The 15,273-nt window shown below is 45.3% G+C and overlaps 2 long non-coding RNA genes across 3 annotated transcripts in view, besides 1 other annotated feature; one reads left to right on the top strand and one right to left on the bottom strand.

The window, feature by feature from the left end:
• Positions 1-15,273, top strand: part of LOC105377161 (uncharacterized) — a 134,312-nt gene that overhangs the window by 96,972 nt on the left and 22,067 nt on the right. The window contains exon 9 of the long non-coding RNA XR_940962.3: positions 11,456-11,574. This is a non-coding gene — a long non-coding RNA (uncharacterized LOC105377161). The remainder of the gene's footprint in view (positions 1-11,455; positions 11,575-15,273) is intronic.
• Positions 3,103-5,316, bottom strand: LOC102724817 (uncharacterized). 2 transcript variants are annotated; one of them, XR_427349.4, is made up of 3 exons: positions 5,211-5,242; positions 4,153-4,254; positions 3,537-3,684 (listed from the first exon to the last, which is right to left on the bottom strand). It is a non-coding gene; the product is annotated as an uncharacterized LOC102724817 (long non-coding RNA). The 2 variants fall into 2 exon arrangements; XR_001740751.2 differs by lacking the exon at positions 4,153-4,254 and having other exon boundaries at positions 3,103-3,684; positions 5,211-5,316.
• Positions 13,145-13,345: a silencer, noted in NCBI's record as "peak4696 fragment used in MPRA reporter construct". NCBI's record gives its function as "represses an SCP1 promoter by STARR-seq MPRAs in K562 erythroleukemia cells {active_cell/tissue: K562}" and the evidence as "EXISTENCE:reporter gene assay evidence [ECO:0000049][PMID:32103011]".

Here is a 15,273-nt window from a genome sequence, read left to right as displayed (position 1 = left end):
TATATTATTTTTAATAAAGAAGAAGGCTTGGGTCATGATTTGGAGAAAGGTGAGTGAAGTAGTTAATGAGAGCAGGAACGAATGAGCAGTTCCCTTGTATCTTATCTAGGAAGGATATTTTCTCTTCTTTTTCTTCCACTTCATCCATCATCCTTCCCTTGAATTCATTCCCCGGGTCTTCACTATCAAGATAAGATGTGTTTCTTCTTCATTCTTCCTCCCACCCCAAGCCACCTAAAATCTAACAAAGCTGGAAGAACTCAGGCAGAACTGAAGCTTGAAGCCAGACAGATTGTCAGATTGTGCCCGGAGGTGATATCTTTGTTAAGGAAACATCCTCCCCACCTTGGCTGTTTCTAGAGGGGCAGGCTTGGCCCTTGAGAGTAGAGGTCCATGGCTGGGTCTCCACGCATGCCCACGCCCAGCTGCCCTCCTCAGAAACCGCCCATGCTTCTCCACACGCAAGGCCCCTCTGGAGGAAGACATATGTTTCTCAATCTGTGGGGCTGTCAGTTGGCATCTTTTTCAAGAACTGAATTAACTTGTCGTCCTAGAGGGAAAAAAGAGAAGTGCTTTGTTTTGTGTTGTCTGTAGGGTAACAGGCCTGGACTGGGTCCAAGTTTGGGGGTGCTCCTCTTTCAGTTGGTGGTGGGGGAGCCATCTGATTGGAGCCTTGAGGCTGGGGGAGCTCTAAGTCACAGTTTGGCTCAATTCTATAAAGTGACGTGTGTTTAGTGAGTGCCAGGCACAAGACCAGGCACCAAAGGCTCAAAAATAGTTAAACAACAGCACTCATGGTGGAGTAGAGAGACAGAAGAGAAGCAACTGTAAAGTCCTAAGATAAGTTCTTAGGTAGGATGTACATGATGTGCAGAGAACGGGGAAAGACCAGAAGGTGTGGTAGCCAGTCTTCAAGATGGCTCTCAATGAGACACACTGCTTGACATTCATGCCTTTTTTTTAGTTCCTTCCCGTGTTGAGTCTGGGCTGGCCTATATAACCAACAGAACGTGGTAGAAGTGGCTCTGTGTGACTTCCAAGGCTAGGTCATAAAAGGCCTTGCAGCTTCCACCTTGGTCTCTTGGAATGCATGTTCTGGGAGAAATCAGCTGTCATGTCAAAAGTCTGACTATGCTGAGGCCACCATGCTGTGAGGAAGCCCAACCTAGCCATGGGAAGGCATCACAAGAAGACACAGAAATACCATCTCCATAGCCAGCTTTTCCACCCATCTCACCCAGGCAAGGGACAGGTGTGTGAAGGAGCTATGTTGGATGTCCAGTCCAGTTGAGCCTTCAGATAACTCCATCCCTGGCTGCCATCTGACTGCAACTGGCTGAGAGACCCCGCGTGAGAAACTTTCAGTGGAGCTCAGTCAACTCACAGCACCTCAAATAACCATGAGCAATAAGAATAGTTGAGTTAAGCTGCTAAATCTGGGTGGTTTGTTACACAATGACTGATAGAAGAAGGGTTTCTGGTAGAAAGGATGATGAGGGAGGGAGTAGAACAGTAGATTTCTGGATGGGGAGCAGCATCCCATGGAGAAGTGCATCTTGGAAAACCACATAGAAAGGAGAATCAGAATAGGCTCTTGAGGAATTAGGAGCAGTTAAATATTAACAGAGAGCAAAGGCCAGGCAGAGAGAAGTGGAGAGAGCACTGGGAGAAGTGGGCAGGGGCCAGACCTATGGATTCTGCACAGGGATTTAAACAACGTACCATGTGGTTTGTGGGAGCTTTGTATTTACTTACAATTTTGAGAGGTGAAGATGTGAACTTCCCCTATAAATCTCCCTATGGCTGCTGCTATTATTGACTTCAGCAGCTGCGACAAAAACCACTCGGGAGGCTTGGTGAACACAAATGCTGAATGGCCTCATTGGCTCAAAGAAAGAGGGGAAAGGGCTAAACACTGTTCAGTGTTCTTCCACTGCTTTCCCCGAGTCTGGGAAATGTCGCATGCCTGAGAAGTCCTAGATTCCATCTTAGCAGCAGCCAGAAACCCCCTTCCCTGGATTGATGATTTATCCACAAAGTACCTGCCCACCAGCACTGTCAAATATGTGATTTAACTGATGCTAGCACCAAGCCAGGTCCTCCCTGCAGTCTCACTGGGGGCTACTTCCACCTGCAACCCTGGCTAAAAGAGAAGAGCCCAAGGGAGGACAGTCCCCATGGCTGCAGTTTCCCCTCTGCCATGCCATCTACTTACCTTCCTAGGCCTCTGTGTTCTCTACTGTAAAACGGGGACAGTAATGCCTATCTTACCCTTGACTGGAGAGTATTAAATGAAATACTGTGATTCAAGTAAGCAGCAAAAACCCCATGTACAGGGCGCACTCAGCCTATGGAGGCTGTTGTAAATATCGCCCTTGCCTTGGTGCTCTGGTCTTATACCCCGAGTCTTCTCTCGAGGTAGGAGATACAGAACAAAGGCGCTGTCCTTGGCCAATATCGCTAATGGATTAGACCACTCTTTGTCTCAGCATGCAGACAGCCTCATGGTCTCGGGCAGCCACTAATATTAATTAATAGCACACATTTCTTGAGCTCTCACCATGCTACAAACGAGTTTTCTCCTGTAATCCTCATAAAAGTCCTGCAGAAACATTTTAGATTTGAGAAAACTAAGGTGGAGCGAGGATAACCTACTCAAAACTGTGAAGCCAGGAAGAGCTGGGGCTGGAGTTGGAACACTCCAGAGCCTGCTGCTTAACCACTGCCCCGCACTGCCTCCCAAAGGAGTCTTCCCTAGAAAGGAGGAGCACAGGATGAAAGCGCACACCACCTCCCATTGTTCTCAGAACTTAGATGAACTGTACATTGTCTTTGTTTAGGCATAGCCCGTTCAATTAGCATGCTGGTGATTTTATCTTTTCCTACTAAGTCCAAGTGTTAAAGCAACAGAAGAAGGGCTCTTTTAATCCCAGTTCCCCATAATTACTAGTGAGAAATAGCCTCAGAAAACTCCATACCGTGTTTTGAGGTTTTGAGGAATGATCTGGAGCTTACACTAGAAAATTAAACCAATGAGGACAGGAACTCTATTTTCCTCACCTCTGTACTCTCTATACTTAGCGCAGTGCCTGGCCCATAGTAGATGTTCAATACATATTTATTGAATGGGTGAATGCAGGATCTACTTTTCCATTAGGCCTAGTAGACACAGTGCCAGAGGCCCAGATACTGTTAGGGATACATGATAGTGTTGTTATTTTCCTTTACAAACAGGAAAAAAAAATAAATATAAAAAAATCAATATGTAACAATGAATCCAGCCTAGATGTTATTCTTTATGCCAATGCAGTCGTAAAATATAATTTTTTTTTAAAATGAAGTGACGGCCAACCTAGCCATGAGAATTCTAATGCAGTCCTGAATGAGTGAGGCTTCTGTGTAAGTGCCCAGTTGGGTACAGGGTAGATCGTAGACAAGATCCATTTCTTCCCATCTGTGCTTTAGAAGTAGAAGTGCAGAGCAGGCCATCTGTGACACCACATGTACCCAGTGGCTCCTTCCTTTCATGTCCACGGCCTCTCCTTTGCGCCAGGGATGATTGGACCAGCATGCAACCCTGACCAGGGACAGCCAATAGGAGCTGCTCAGGGGCATAGAGCCGGGCAGGAAATGCTGTGCCCAAGAGGTGCCACAATCAGCAGTGCCAATCCAGAAGGACTGAAGCTGAAATATGAAGAAAGAATCAGTAAACAGTAGAAAAGCTAGAGAAGACACAGAGAAATGGAGACAGAGTAACTGGGTTGTGAGAAGTGTGGAATGGAGTGAGGATCCCTCAACTCTCTCTGCAGCTTGGGCTAGCTGATCTAGTTCCTGTGTGGACTCCAAACACAAGACCCACCTGCATTTACTGAGTGCCTTCTATTTTCTAGGCCCTGGGCTAAGTGGCTTATATATATCATCTCATTTAACCTCCCAACAACCCTATAGAGGTGGTTTTATCTTTATCCTACTTATCAAATGTGGAAAGGAAGCTTAATTCATTTGCTCAAGATCGCATAGCTAGTAACTGGAAGAACCAAGCCTCAAAAACCCAGCCGGTTGGACTCCAAAGTCCACAATTTAACCAACAAACCAACTTGCTTTGTCAAATTCTAAAGTCTATTCCAGACTCCAGGAAGCTCAGCAGTTCACCTTTCTTGGTTTCTCTTGAGATCCCTGTTATCAATATGTTATATGTGTCCTTGCAATTCACTGGAGTAATGGCTTGAGGTAGTCTGAAAATCTGTTCTTTATCTGCAAAAGACCAACGGTCCAGGAGAAGGTCAAAAAAGACAGAGGACCTGGGGTAAACAACAGGCAATAAACATGAAAAACAAAAACAAAAACAAAAAACTGGTGAGGAGCTGTATATTGGTGAAGAGAAGCAGCCCCAGTTTGCCAGGTCATGGTGAGAATGAGCTTCAAGTAGTCAGGAAGAGGCCAGATTAGGGAGAGTCCAGAGAAAAAGACCAAAGAGGTTGTTCTTTCCCCCCATAGACAAGGGGCTTCAATGGTAAGAAACAAGAGGAAGTGTGTACAAAGCGGCATTTAAGAAGCCTCATGTGGTTGGCTTAGCCAGGATGAATTTGCCACAGAGAGGGAAGAAGCAAGAGGTTATTTTTACAACAGTAGGAGAAAGATAACCAAGTGTGAACTTTGATGGTGGTGTGGGGGATGGGAGGTAAGCACATTGCATTGTAAAGAAGGACTGCACAGGAGTAATTAGAAGGCAGAAAGGGAACCAGAGGGAGGAACCATCTGTGGTTATGTCCAGAAAATTAAAATCTCAGTGGCAGAGATTTCTAGTTGTCCACGATATCCTTTTGCACCTTCTTATAAAAGCTCATAGTTTTTAGCTGGGCACGTGACTGCCTAAGATAAAGGCTATATTCTCCAGCCTCCCTTGCAGTTTGGTGTGGCTATGGGCCTGTCTCCTGCGGAAACGGATCTGCCCTGGAGTCCCTGCTGGGCTCTTTCACTGTCAGGGAGCAGCCATGGAAAAAATGGTCTTGGTCACAGTGTGGTGATGGATTCAGATTTGGAGAGCAGCAGCTGGGGCCATTAGTCAACTACCCTCCCCATGACAGGAGATCTGAGAGGGGCATTTTTGTAGCTGCCACATGCTTTCCATCCATTTTGTTGTTGTTGTTGTTGTTTTGTTTGTTTGTTTGTTTCATTTTGTTTCTGTCCTGGCTCAGGTAAGCTCTCACCTAGTGACCACAAGATGGCTGCCACAGCTCCAGTATCACATCTCACTGGGTAAACCAATGGGAAAAAATATTTGCCTTTTTCCCAGCACCCACTGTGAAAACCTCATTGTGTCTCATTGGTTCTGAATGAGTCACGTACTCACTTCTGAACCAATCACTGTGACTAGGGAAATATGACCTGCTGATTGGCTGAGGCCTAGACCACACACTCCACTCCTAGAGGGAGGGATGACACTCTAGCCAGATTCCAGAGTCAGAGTGTAGGGGAGGGTGAGTCCCCAAAGAAAAATGGAAGGTGGGGGAACTATGCTAGGGAGACAGCAACAAAATATCCTTGATAATAGTGTTAAATGTCCCCACACTTGTTTCCTCCTAGAACCCTATTTGCTGAGTTACTTGTGCAGAGCACATATTGAGAGATGTTGGACCTTAGAAATACAAGACATGCATAATATCTCTGTAATTACACCTTCTGCTTATTCTTTACAAATAGGCCATTCGAGTTAGGAATGTTAGCAAAGAGAAAATCTCCTATTAATTAATTAATTTATTTATTTATCTGAGACTGAGTCTTGCTTTGTCACCCAGCCTGGAGTACAGTGGTGTGATCTTGGCTCACTGCAGCCTCAACTTCCTAGGCTCAAGCAATCCTCCCATCTCAGTTTCCTGAGTAGCTGGTACTACAGGCATGCACCATCACGCCTAGCTAATTTTTTTTTTTTTATTTTTGGCGGGGTCGGGGGTGGTCTCACTTTGTTGTCCACCCTGGTCTCGAACTCCTGGCCTCAAGTGATCCTCCTGCCTCAGCCTCTCAAAGTGCTGGGATTACAGATGTGAACCACCACAACTGGCCAAAATCTCCAGGGGAGATGGGGCTACATGGTTGATGGAAACATCCACTTGGCCCTTCTTGATATATTCTATTCTCTTAGATATTTTTTCCAAAACAGATGAAGAGTTTGCCAGATTTTATGTATTTTTAGGAGAAAAGATAATGAGACCCCATAAATTACCCCAAAGTGTCCTTAATGACCTTTCCATTGCCTCTCCTCAAGTACCCCTGTAGCCTCCTCAATAGGAATCGATTAGGAGTCTTCATTCTCCTCTTATCATTGACAGCACCTCTGGGGAAAAAAAGGCCATGCCCTTCCCTCCCACCTGCTGTAGGGATTAATGTCCAGATAAGATCCTAACAGAAAGAAACAATTTGGGTTCAGCAGTTGTGAGCCAGTGGGGCTAGGTGACCACCAGCATTTAAGATATTATGTCCTGGGCATGTGTGAATTGATAATATCTTTATTGATTCTGAGGAGTTACATGACAATAAAAGCATGTTCAAAAATATTTATCACAGAGTATTGTAGCTAACAGACTCCATTTTAAAGTTTACAAAAGATAAATCATAAATGCCGTTCTTGCTTAATATTCTACAGTTTCTCTTTAAAATAAATGAAAAGATTATAAAAAATGATAAGAAAAACAGTAACACTGAGATCTTTCTGTAGGTCAGGCACTCTGCTAAGTACTTCATATGCATTTTCTTGTTTAATCTTTACAACCATATAATGGGGTAGGTAATATTATTGTTCACATTTTATAGATGAGAAAACTGAGGCTCGGATGGGCACAGTGGCTCACGCCTATAATCCCAGCACTTTGGGAGGCCGAGGCAGGAAGATCACTTGAGGCCAGGAGTTCGAGACCAGCCTAACCAACATGGTGAAACCCCGTCTCTAGTAAAAACACAAAAAATTAGCCGGGAGTGATGGTAGGCGCCTGTAATCCCAGCTACTTGCGAGGCTGAGGCAGGAGAATTGCTTGAACCTGGGAAGTGGAGGTTGCAGTGAACCGAGATGGCACCACTGCACTCCAGCCTGGGGGACAGAGACAGACTCCATCTCAAAACAAAAAAAAAAAAAGAAAATTGAGGCTCAGTGAAATTAAGGAACAAATTCAAGACTATATAACTAATAAATAAAAGAATCAGGGCCAGGCATGGTGGCTCACACCTGTAATCCCAGCACTTTGGGAGACTGAGGTGGGTGGATCACTTGAGGTCAGGAGTTTGAGACCAGCCTGGCCAACATGATGAAACCTTGTTTCTACTAAAAATACAAACATTAGTTGGGCATGGTGGTGCATGACTGTAGTCCTAGCTACTCAGGAGGCTGAGGCAGGAGAATTGCTTGAACCCAGGGGGCGGAGGTTGCAGTGAGCCGAGATCATGCCATTGCACTCCAGCCTGGGCAACACAGTGAGACTCCATCTCAAAAAAAAAAAAAAAAAGAGAATTTTTTTTTCTACAGATGAGGTCTCATTCTGCCACCCAGGTTGGAATGCAGTGGTGCAGTCATAGCTTACTGCAGCCTCAAACTCTTGGGCTCGAGCAAACCTCTCACCTCAGCTTCTCCAGTAGCTGGGACTATAAGCACGCACCACCATGCCTGGCTAATTTTTTTTCTTTTTTCTTTTCTTTTTAGACAGGGTCTCACTCTGTCGCCCAGGCTGGAGTATAGTGGTGCAGTGGCACGATCTCAGCTCACTGCAAACTCCACCTCCTGTACTCAAGTGATCCTCCCGCCACAGCCACCCGAGTAGCTGGGACTACAGGCACACACTACCATGCCCGGCTAATTTTTGCATGTTTTGTAGAGATGAGGTTTCACAGTGTTGCCCAGGCTGGTCTGGAACTCCTGGGTTCAAGGGATCCACCAACCATGGCCTCTTAAAGTGGTGGGATTACAGGCATGAGCCACTGCATCCAGCCTATCAGAGTCAGAATTTGAAATCGGGTCTAATTTCAGTATGTGTGTTCTTAGAATTAATGTGCTATACCCTACCACTTAATGACACAAGCTTTTCTCCCCCTAGCATACCTATCTCATCGGGATACTGGGTAAATCAAACGCACTAAAATATGTAAAGATATCAGACACTTTGCAACCTGCAGTGAATGAGCCATTGGAAGCTGTAGGTTTTGTTTTGACCAAACTCTTTGTTTATTGTCGCCTTTAACTTTTGTGGAGTGGCATTGCCAAAGATCCCTGATGCTTCTGTCTCCCTTGAGTTGCCAGACCAGACCCAGTGACATGTACCAGGCTTTTGTCGGCTCTTGCCCCCACTTATAAGGCAGGATCCAGGCTTTTTACTGAATCTTCCCCTAGTAAGTATTTATAGAAGTCATTAGGGTGCCACATATGTGCTCATAAATATGAACAGTCAGTACATCCTGGCATAAACCACTCTATTTCCTTTCTCCTGCTCTTGCCTCCTTATTCTGGGCACCCTTGGTATATGAGGTACCACTGCTGCTTTCCCTGTACAATTGGGTACAATTGTGCCTGATGCAGGGCACTGTGACTTCTCATTTCTGCTTTGCTGGTTCCCCCGAGGACCTGAAGCTGCATGTTTTCAGGAGTCCTCAATGGGCAGGAGTCCTCAAGTGTCATCCCCCCTATAGTATAATAATCTGTTGGAGAGCATGAGGAATCTGAATAAGAGATTTTGGGTAAGCTTTATTAAAGTGTAGTATGTATATAGAAAGAGACATAAATCATAAGTATTCAGCTCCATGGATTTTTCATATTTTTCATAAAATGAACCCACGCATGTAACCAGCACTAAGATCAAGAAGCAGCAGATTCCCAGCACCAGAGAATCTCCTTTGTGCCCCCTTCCATTAGCAAGGGTAGCCCCCCTTCCCCAGGGTAACCGCTATCCTAATTCTTTTTTTTGAAATGGAGTCTTGCTCTGTTGCCCAGGCTGGACTGCAGTGGCGCGATCTCCAATCACTGCAATGTCCGCCTCCCAGGTTCAAGTGATTCTCCTGCCTCAGCCTCCCAAGTAGCTGGGACTACAGGTGTGCACCACCATACCTGGCTAATTTTTTTGTATTTTTGGACTTTTTTTGTATTTTGTACATTTTTTTTTTTGTAACTTACAATTTATGTCTTTTTCTGTATACAGATGGGATTTCGCCATGTTGGCCAGGGCTGGTCTCGAACTCCTGACCTCAGATGATCTGCCAGCCTTGGCCTCCCAAAGTGCTGGGATTACAGGCATGAGCCACCGCTCCTGGCCCTGCTATCCTAACTTCTAACACTATAGATTCTGGTTGCCTCTTTTAAAACTTGATATAAATAGGAATCATATAGACTTTTTAAAATCTAGTTTATTTTGCTTAACATTATGTTCGTAAGATATAGTTACATTAGTGAATACAGCTGTAGCTTATAATTTTCATTTCTGTGTAGTATGCCATTGCGTGGATATAGCACATACAATGTTTAGTTATCCATTCTAGTGTAGATGGGCATTTGGGTAGTTTCCAGTTTGGGACTCTTACGAGTAGTGCTGTTGTGAACATCTTTGTTCATGTCTTTTGGTGAACATATGCAAGCATTTCTGTTAGGGATATATACATATGTGTGTGCATGTACATGTGTGTGTGTATGCGTGTGTGTGTGCATGTGTGTATGTATAAATTGTTGCTAGGTCATAGGCTATGCATATGTTTAGCTTTAGTCAATACTGCCAAACAGACTTTCTTTTTTAAATGTTATTTATTTGTTTATTTTTTATTATTATTATACCTTAAGTTCTAGGGTACATGTGCACAATGTGCAGGTTTGTTACATATGTATACATGTGCCATGTTGGTGTGCTGCACCCATTAACTCGTCATTTACATTAGGTATATCTCCTAATGCTATCCCTCCCCCTTCCCCCGACCCCACGACAGGCCCCAGTGTGTGATGTTCCCCACCCTGTGTGCAAGTGTTATGATTGTTCAATTCCCACCTAGGAGTGAGAACATGCGGTGTTTGGTTTTCTGTCCTTGCGATAGTTTGCTGAGAATGATGGTTTCCAGCTTCATCCATGTCCCTACAAAGGACATGAACTCATCCTTTTTTATGGCTGCATAGTATTCCATGGTGTATATGTGCCACATTTTCTTAATCCAGTCTATCACTGATGGATATTTGGGTTGGTTCCAAGTCTTTGCTATTGTGAATAGTGCCGCAATACACATACGTGTGCAGGTGTCTTTATAGCAGCATGATTTATAATCCTTTGGGTATATACCCAGTAATGGGATTGCTGGGTCAAATGGTATTTCTAGTTCTAGATCCATGAGGAATCGCCACACTGTCTTCCACAATGGTTGAACTAGTTTACCGTCCCACAATAGTGTAAAAGTGTTCCTATTTCTCCACACCCTCTCCAGCACCTGTTGTTTCCTGACTTTTTAATGATTGCCATTCTAACTGGTGTGAGATGGTATCTCATTGTGGTTTTGATTTGCATTTCTCTGATGGCCAGTGATGATGAGCATTTTTTCATGTGTCTGTTCTGCCAAACAGACTTTCAAAGTGATTAGACCAATTTACACTCCCATCAGTGATACATGTATTTGGATAAAGTTGTTATAGTATTATGGTTCATTTTTTTCTTTGTCCAAAAGCCCTTCAAAACTTAAGTCCTGCTCAGGCCAAACTGCCCCCTCTCCATCAGTCTCTTCAGTGTATCAATTAGAGTTTGTGGTTGCAAGCAACAGAGATCAACTCTAGCTAACATATAGGAGATGCTCATACAATGACAGAAGGTAATTTTCCAAAAGGAAATCTGCATGCTGTTAGAATGGGAAATGGATTCTGGACTAATGGATAAGACTTGGATAGGAGCAGAAACTAAGGCAATGTTGGAGGCTATGGCATGAATCACAGCAGCAGTCTCCAAGCAGGAACCTTTCTGCGAGCATGTCACCCTGCATGGAATGGCCTCACTCTTGATCTTTCATTATACAGTAGCCCAGGAAAGAAAATCCAATTGCCTGAGCTTACATGGTGGGCCTGTTCTCCAACATATTAAGCTAGAGAGAGGCAGGGACTGTGCCTTTGAGTTCTGTAGTGGGAGATGATCCCATCCCATGATGCAGTACTTTCCCTGCAGATCTCATTAACCAAAAATGAGATAATTCCCCCAAAAGTAATCTAGAATGAAAGATGAAGATTTCTGGAAAAATCAGAATGTAAAATGAGTGCTGGGCAGCCAAAGAAAAAAGATGACTGTCTACCAATCTAAGAGAGATACGCATACAAGGAGTAATGACCAATAGGAAGCCAAGTCACATTGTTTTGGTAGCTGGGGCTTGGACCCCGAACTGCAACACAGACGACTTTGGTAGCTCAATTGGACCACATGGAACATCCTTGCTTTTCTAAACTATTGTATTAATTTTCTAGGACTGCTGTAACCAAGTACCATGAAGTGCATGGCTTAAAACAACAGCAATGCTTTCTCTCACAGTTCTAGAGGTAGAAGCATGAAGCCAGCTATTGACAGGAGCATGCTCCCACTGAAGGTGAGAGGAAGGATACTTCCTTGACTCCTCCTAGCGTTTGGGGTTGTCGGAAGTCCTTGGGGCTCCCTGGCTTGTAGCTGCCTTGCTTTGATCCCTGCCTCTGTCTTCACATGGCCTTATCTTCTGTGTGTTCCTCTCCTCTTCTTATAAGGACACCAGTCATTGTATTTAGGTCCCACCTTAAACCAGTATAACTTCTTGTTAACTAATTACTTCTGTGAAGAGGCTATTTTCAAATAAGGTCACATTCTGAGGTTGCTGATGAACACAAATTCTGAGGGGATGCCATTCAAACTACTACAGTTGATTCAGCTTCAAACCAGAGAATCTGGTGAGCTCTGATCCCTTTAATTCCTCCCACCACTTGCTGATACAAGTCTAATGTTTTCTTGCATGCTGGCTACATGGAAGAAGTGGAATCTATGAATTGCAATCATGGCCTGATCTTTTAATGCATTATATAACTTCACTCTCCTTCAAACCTGATCCACTCAGTTCCCAGAATTGACCAGATTGGTATGGTTCAGTGGTAAAGAGAAGAGGCTGTAGTGGAACGGCCAAGATTCAAACCCTGGTTTGGGCCGGGCACAGTGGCTCACACCTGTAATCTCAGCACTTTGGGAGGCCGAGGCAAGCGGATCACCTGAGGTCAGAAGTTCAGGACCAGCCTGGCCAACATGGTGAAACCCCATCTCTACTAAAAATGCAAAAATTAGCCAGGCATGGTGGCAGGTGCCTGTAATCCCAGCTAGTTGGGAGGCTGAGGCAGGAGAATCTCTGGAATCCAGGAGGCAGAGGTTGCCATGAGCCAAGATCATACCATTGCACTCCAGCCTGGGCAACAAGAGCGAAACTCCGTCTCAAAAAACAAAACAAAAGACAACAAGAAACCCTGGTTTGACCTTTTTACTATCTGGGTGACACTCCTTGTGTCTTGGCTTTCTTATCCATAAAATGTACTTGATGAAAAATGTACTATTTCATCAGGCTATAGTAGTAAAAGTTAAATGAGAAAATGGATCTAAGTTCTTAGCTCGGTGCCTGGCACAACATAAGCACTAACTCAATGTTGTCGTTATTAATTTGTGTGTTCCCGAGGGAAGTGGGTATGGGAAAGGAGGCTTAAACATGATTCCCCCTCAGAAAGGCCTGATGGAGTTTTAATAAAAAACTTGTAGCTTTTTTCTCCCTGCAGTCTTTATGGCCCTCCTCCCTCCTACCCCAGTCTACAGGAAGCCAGGCTGGAATAGAAAACCTAAGAGCAGACCTCATGGTATATGTGCCCTCCTTAACAATCAAGGCTTTGTTATTAGGCCAAGCTTAAGGCTCCCGGCTCTGTTTTCCCTTAGGGCTAGTCCTCTCTCAGAGGCACTCTGAGCCCACGTGCAAAGACATTTCAGAGGCCCATCCCATCCATTTACCAGGCACACCTGGATGGGCCTGGGGCTCTAGCTGAGGTCACTGCTATGCCTAGAAATAGCTGAACAGGCAGCTCAGTTATCCCTCGGACTGGAGACTGCCCGGCTGGGGCACCTGAGGCCGGAGCAGATCCCTGAGGTTGTAAATCAGGGCTATGCCAAGATCATCCTAGGAAGAGGATTTGGGCTTCTTTCTGTCTGAAGGCTCTGGTGCCCTGGCTTCATCTAGGGGATGGCAAATAAGACTGGCTTGTCCAGAGTGACACAGGACTGGCCAGGGGCCAAACTGCTATTGATTTTTCTTGCTAGGGTCTGAAGCTGAGATAGGAGATGGCTTTTTGCTTCAGTTGTGTGGACCAGCTCGGGGGAGGCAGGGGGTTGGGGGGCAGGTGAGGGGTGAGGGGCTCCTTTGCAGGAGCCTGGGCCCCTGGCTGAAGTCACTGGAGGAGAGGGCACATGTCAGGAGCAGAATAATGACTCTGCAGCCATCATGTGTCATGTGCAATGGAGGATGACCGTGATGGCCCTGTTGCACTCCAGCCAAGGGTCCAGTGGGCTTTTTGTTTTTTTTATAGCTTGCCGAATTATCTTTTAGTGTCTGACTTCACAGTAGGAAAGGGTTTGACACCTCCAACTGCCTTTCCTCCTTCTGCCAGGATGATGGGAGCTAAGCAGAGCAGAACCACAAGCTCTGTGTTCAGGCTGGCCCCTGTGGCAAGAGTGCAAGTGGGGGCTTATGAAAGCGATATCTAAGTATTCAAACATTATCCATCCCAGTACAAAATGCTATGTAAAATAAGTTCTACCCTCCAACTTGGACAAATGTATCTTCCTAATGCCCTGCAACACCAGGATGGACTTTAGATTTCTCGGGCTCCTTGGTCCTCCACACCCAAATGTGATCTTGCAGGGAGAGCAGCCCTGACTCCACCCACTCCCCTTCTGTTCCACCTCTCGTTCCATTTTGCATTGTGAAGAATGTCCCTCACTCATGCATGCTGTCTTTCTCTCTCTGTCTCTGTCTCTGTCTCTGTCTCTCTCTCTCTCTCTCTCTCTCTCTCTCGTTTGTGGACACTCCAGCTGCATATCCATGTCCTTCAAACTCCATGTCCATCCCCGCTGTCCTTCAAACAGCTGCCCCTAAGTCAACTCTCAGACTTGGGTGCACATGCTGGTGGGCAGGTTTGGACTTCCAACAAAGAAAGAAGGGAAGAGGCCAACGCACATTCTGGAAACAGGATTACAGCTACTTGGGCAGAGAAGTAAGGATTCCAGGAACCCAGACTAGGGCCTGGAAGCGGGAGTGCATGGGGCTCAGGTGGGCACATCTCCTTGGTCCCATGGACTCCTTAAACATCTGCCCCTTTGAGGAGGCGCAAACCCAGAGGGGACCCTTTGAAGTGGGAGGCCAGGGCAAGACCCTTGTTGCCTGGTTCAAAAGGCTGTTCTGCCCACGATCACACCACCACGAGACTCCAATCTTGTTCCACGACCACAACACCATGGGCACCATGAGATTCCAATCTTGTACCAGTGCTTCATGGTAGAGAGCATGATTTCTGAAGTCTTGGGGAGATGCATCTTTGACCTCTCTACCTTCCAAAGAACAGTTCCCCGGGATAGTAGGGACTGCCTCGGAATTAGGAAAATGAGAGGAGGAAACAGCATCCCAGCCCTGACCCATGCCTTCGTTTTGGGCTTCCCTAGATCAAGGTTCCCTCGGAAGGCAGCTCTCCCCTCCACGATCCATGTGTTTTTTGTTGTTTCCTAATCCTCAGCTTGGCAGGCCCCTGAGTGCTGCATCCATATTTTTGTCTGCTCTTTTGTCTGATGAGTTTCTCCCTACATGCCTGAGCTGGCAGCAGCAAGCCTGCGAGATGAAGCTCCTGCCCCTTCACAAGAAGATTCATCATGTTCTTTGAAAAAGCCTTTGCAGCCTTCATTTTTGTCCCTCTTGCCTGCCATCTCCCTCGTCTTTTGGTTCTATTATATGTATTTTTTAGCAGCCTTGGTGTTCCCTGCATTTTTTTTTTTAACCACAAAGTTGACTGTTATGTAACAGTCTCATGGACCTGCCTCCCAGAATCTAAAGTGTCTGTTGCTATAACTACAACGCTCATAAATTCAGCCTCCCTTAAAATTATGCATTTTCCAAACTCCCCAAGTGGAGACTCAGAAGGGTTAGGTTAGCTGGATTTTAAACCATAAAATTCATGTCTAGACCCCCAAATCTGTACTGTATATTTTTAAAACATTTATAAAGGGACCTGGGTTTCTTTTC

The sequence above is a fragment of the Homo sapiens genome, chromosome 3 (assembly GCF_000001405.40).
Source record: "Homo sapiens chromosome 3, GRCh38.p14 Primary Assembly".
Taxonomy (NCBI): Eukaryota; Metazoa; Chordata; class Mammalia; order Primates; family Hominidae; genus Homo; species Homo sapiens.
The sequence above is the reverse complement of the archived record's forward strand: the minus strand, read 5'-3'. Positions and strand labels throughout refer to the sequence as shown.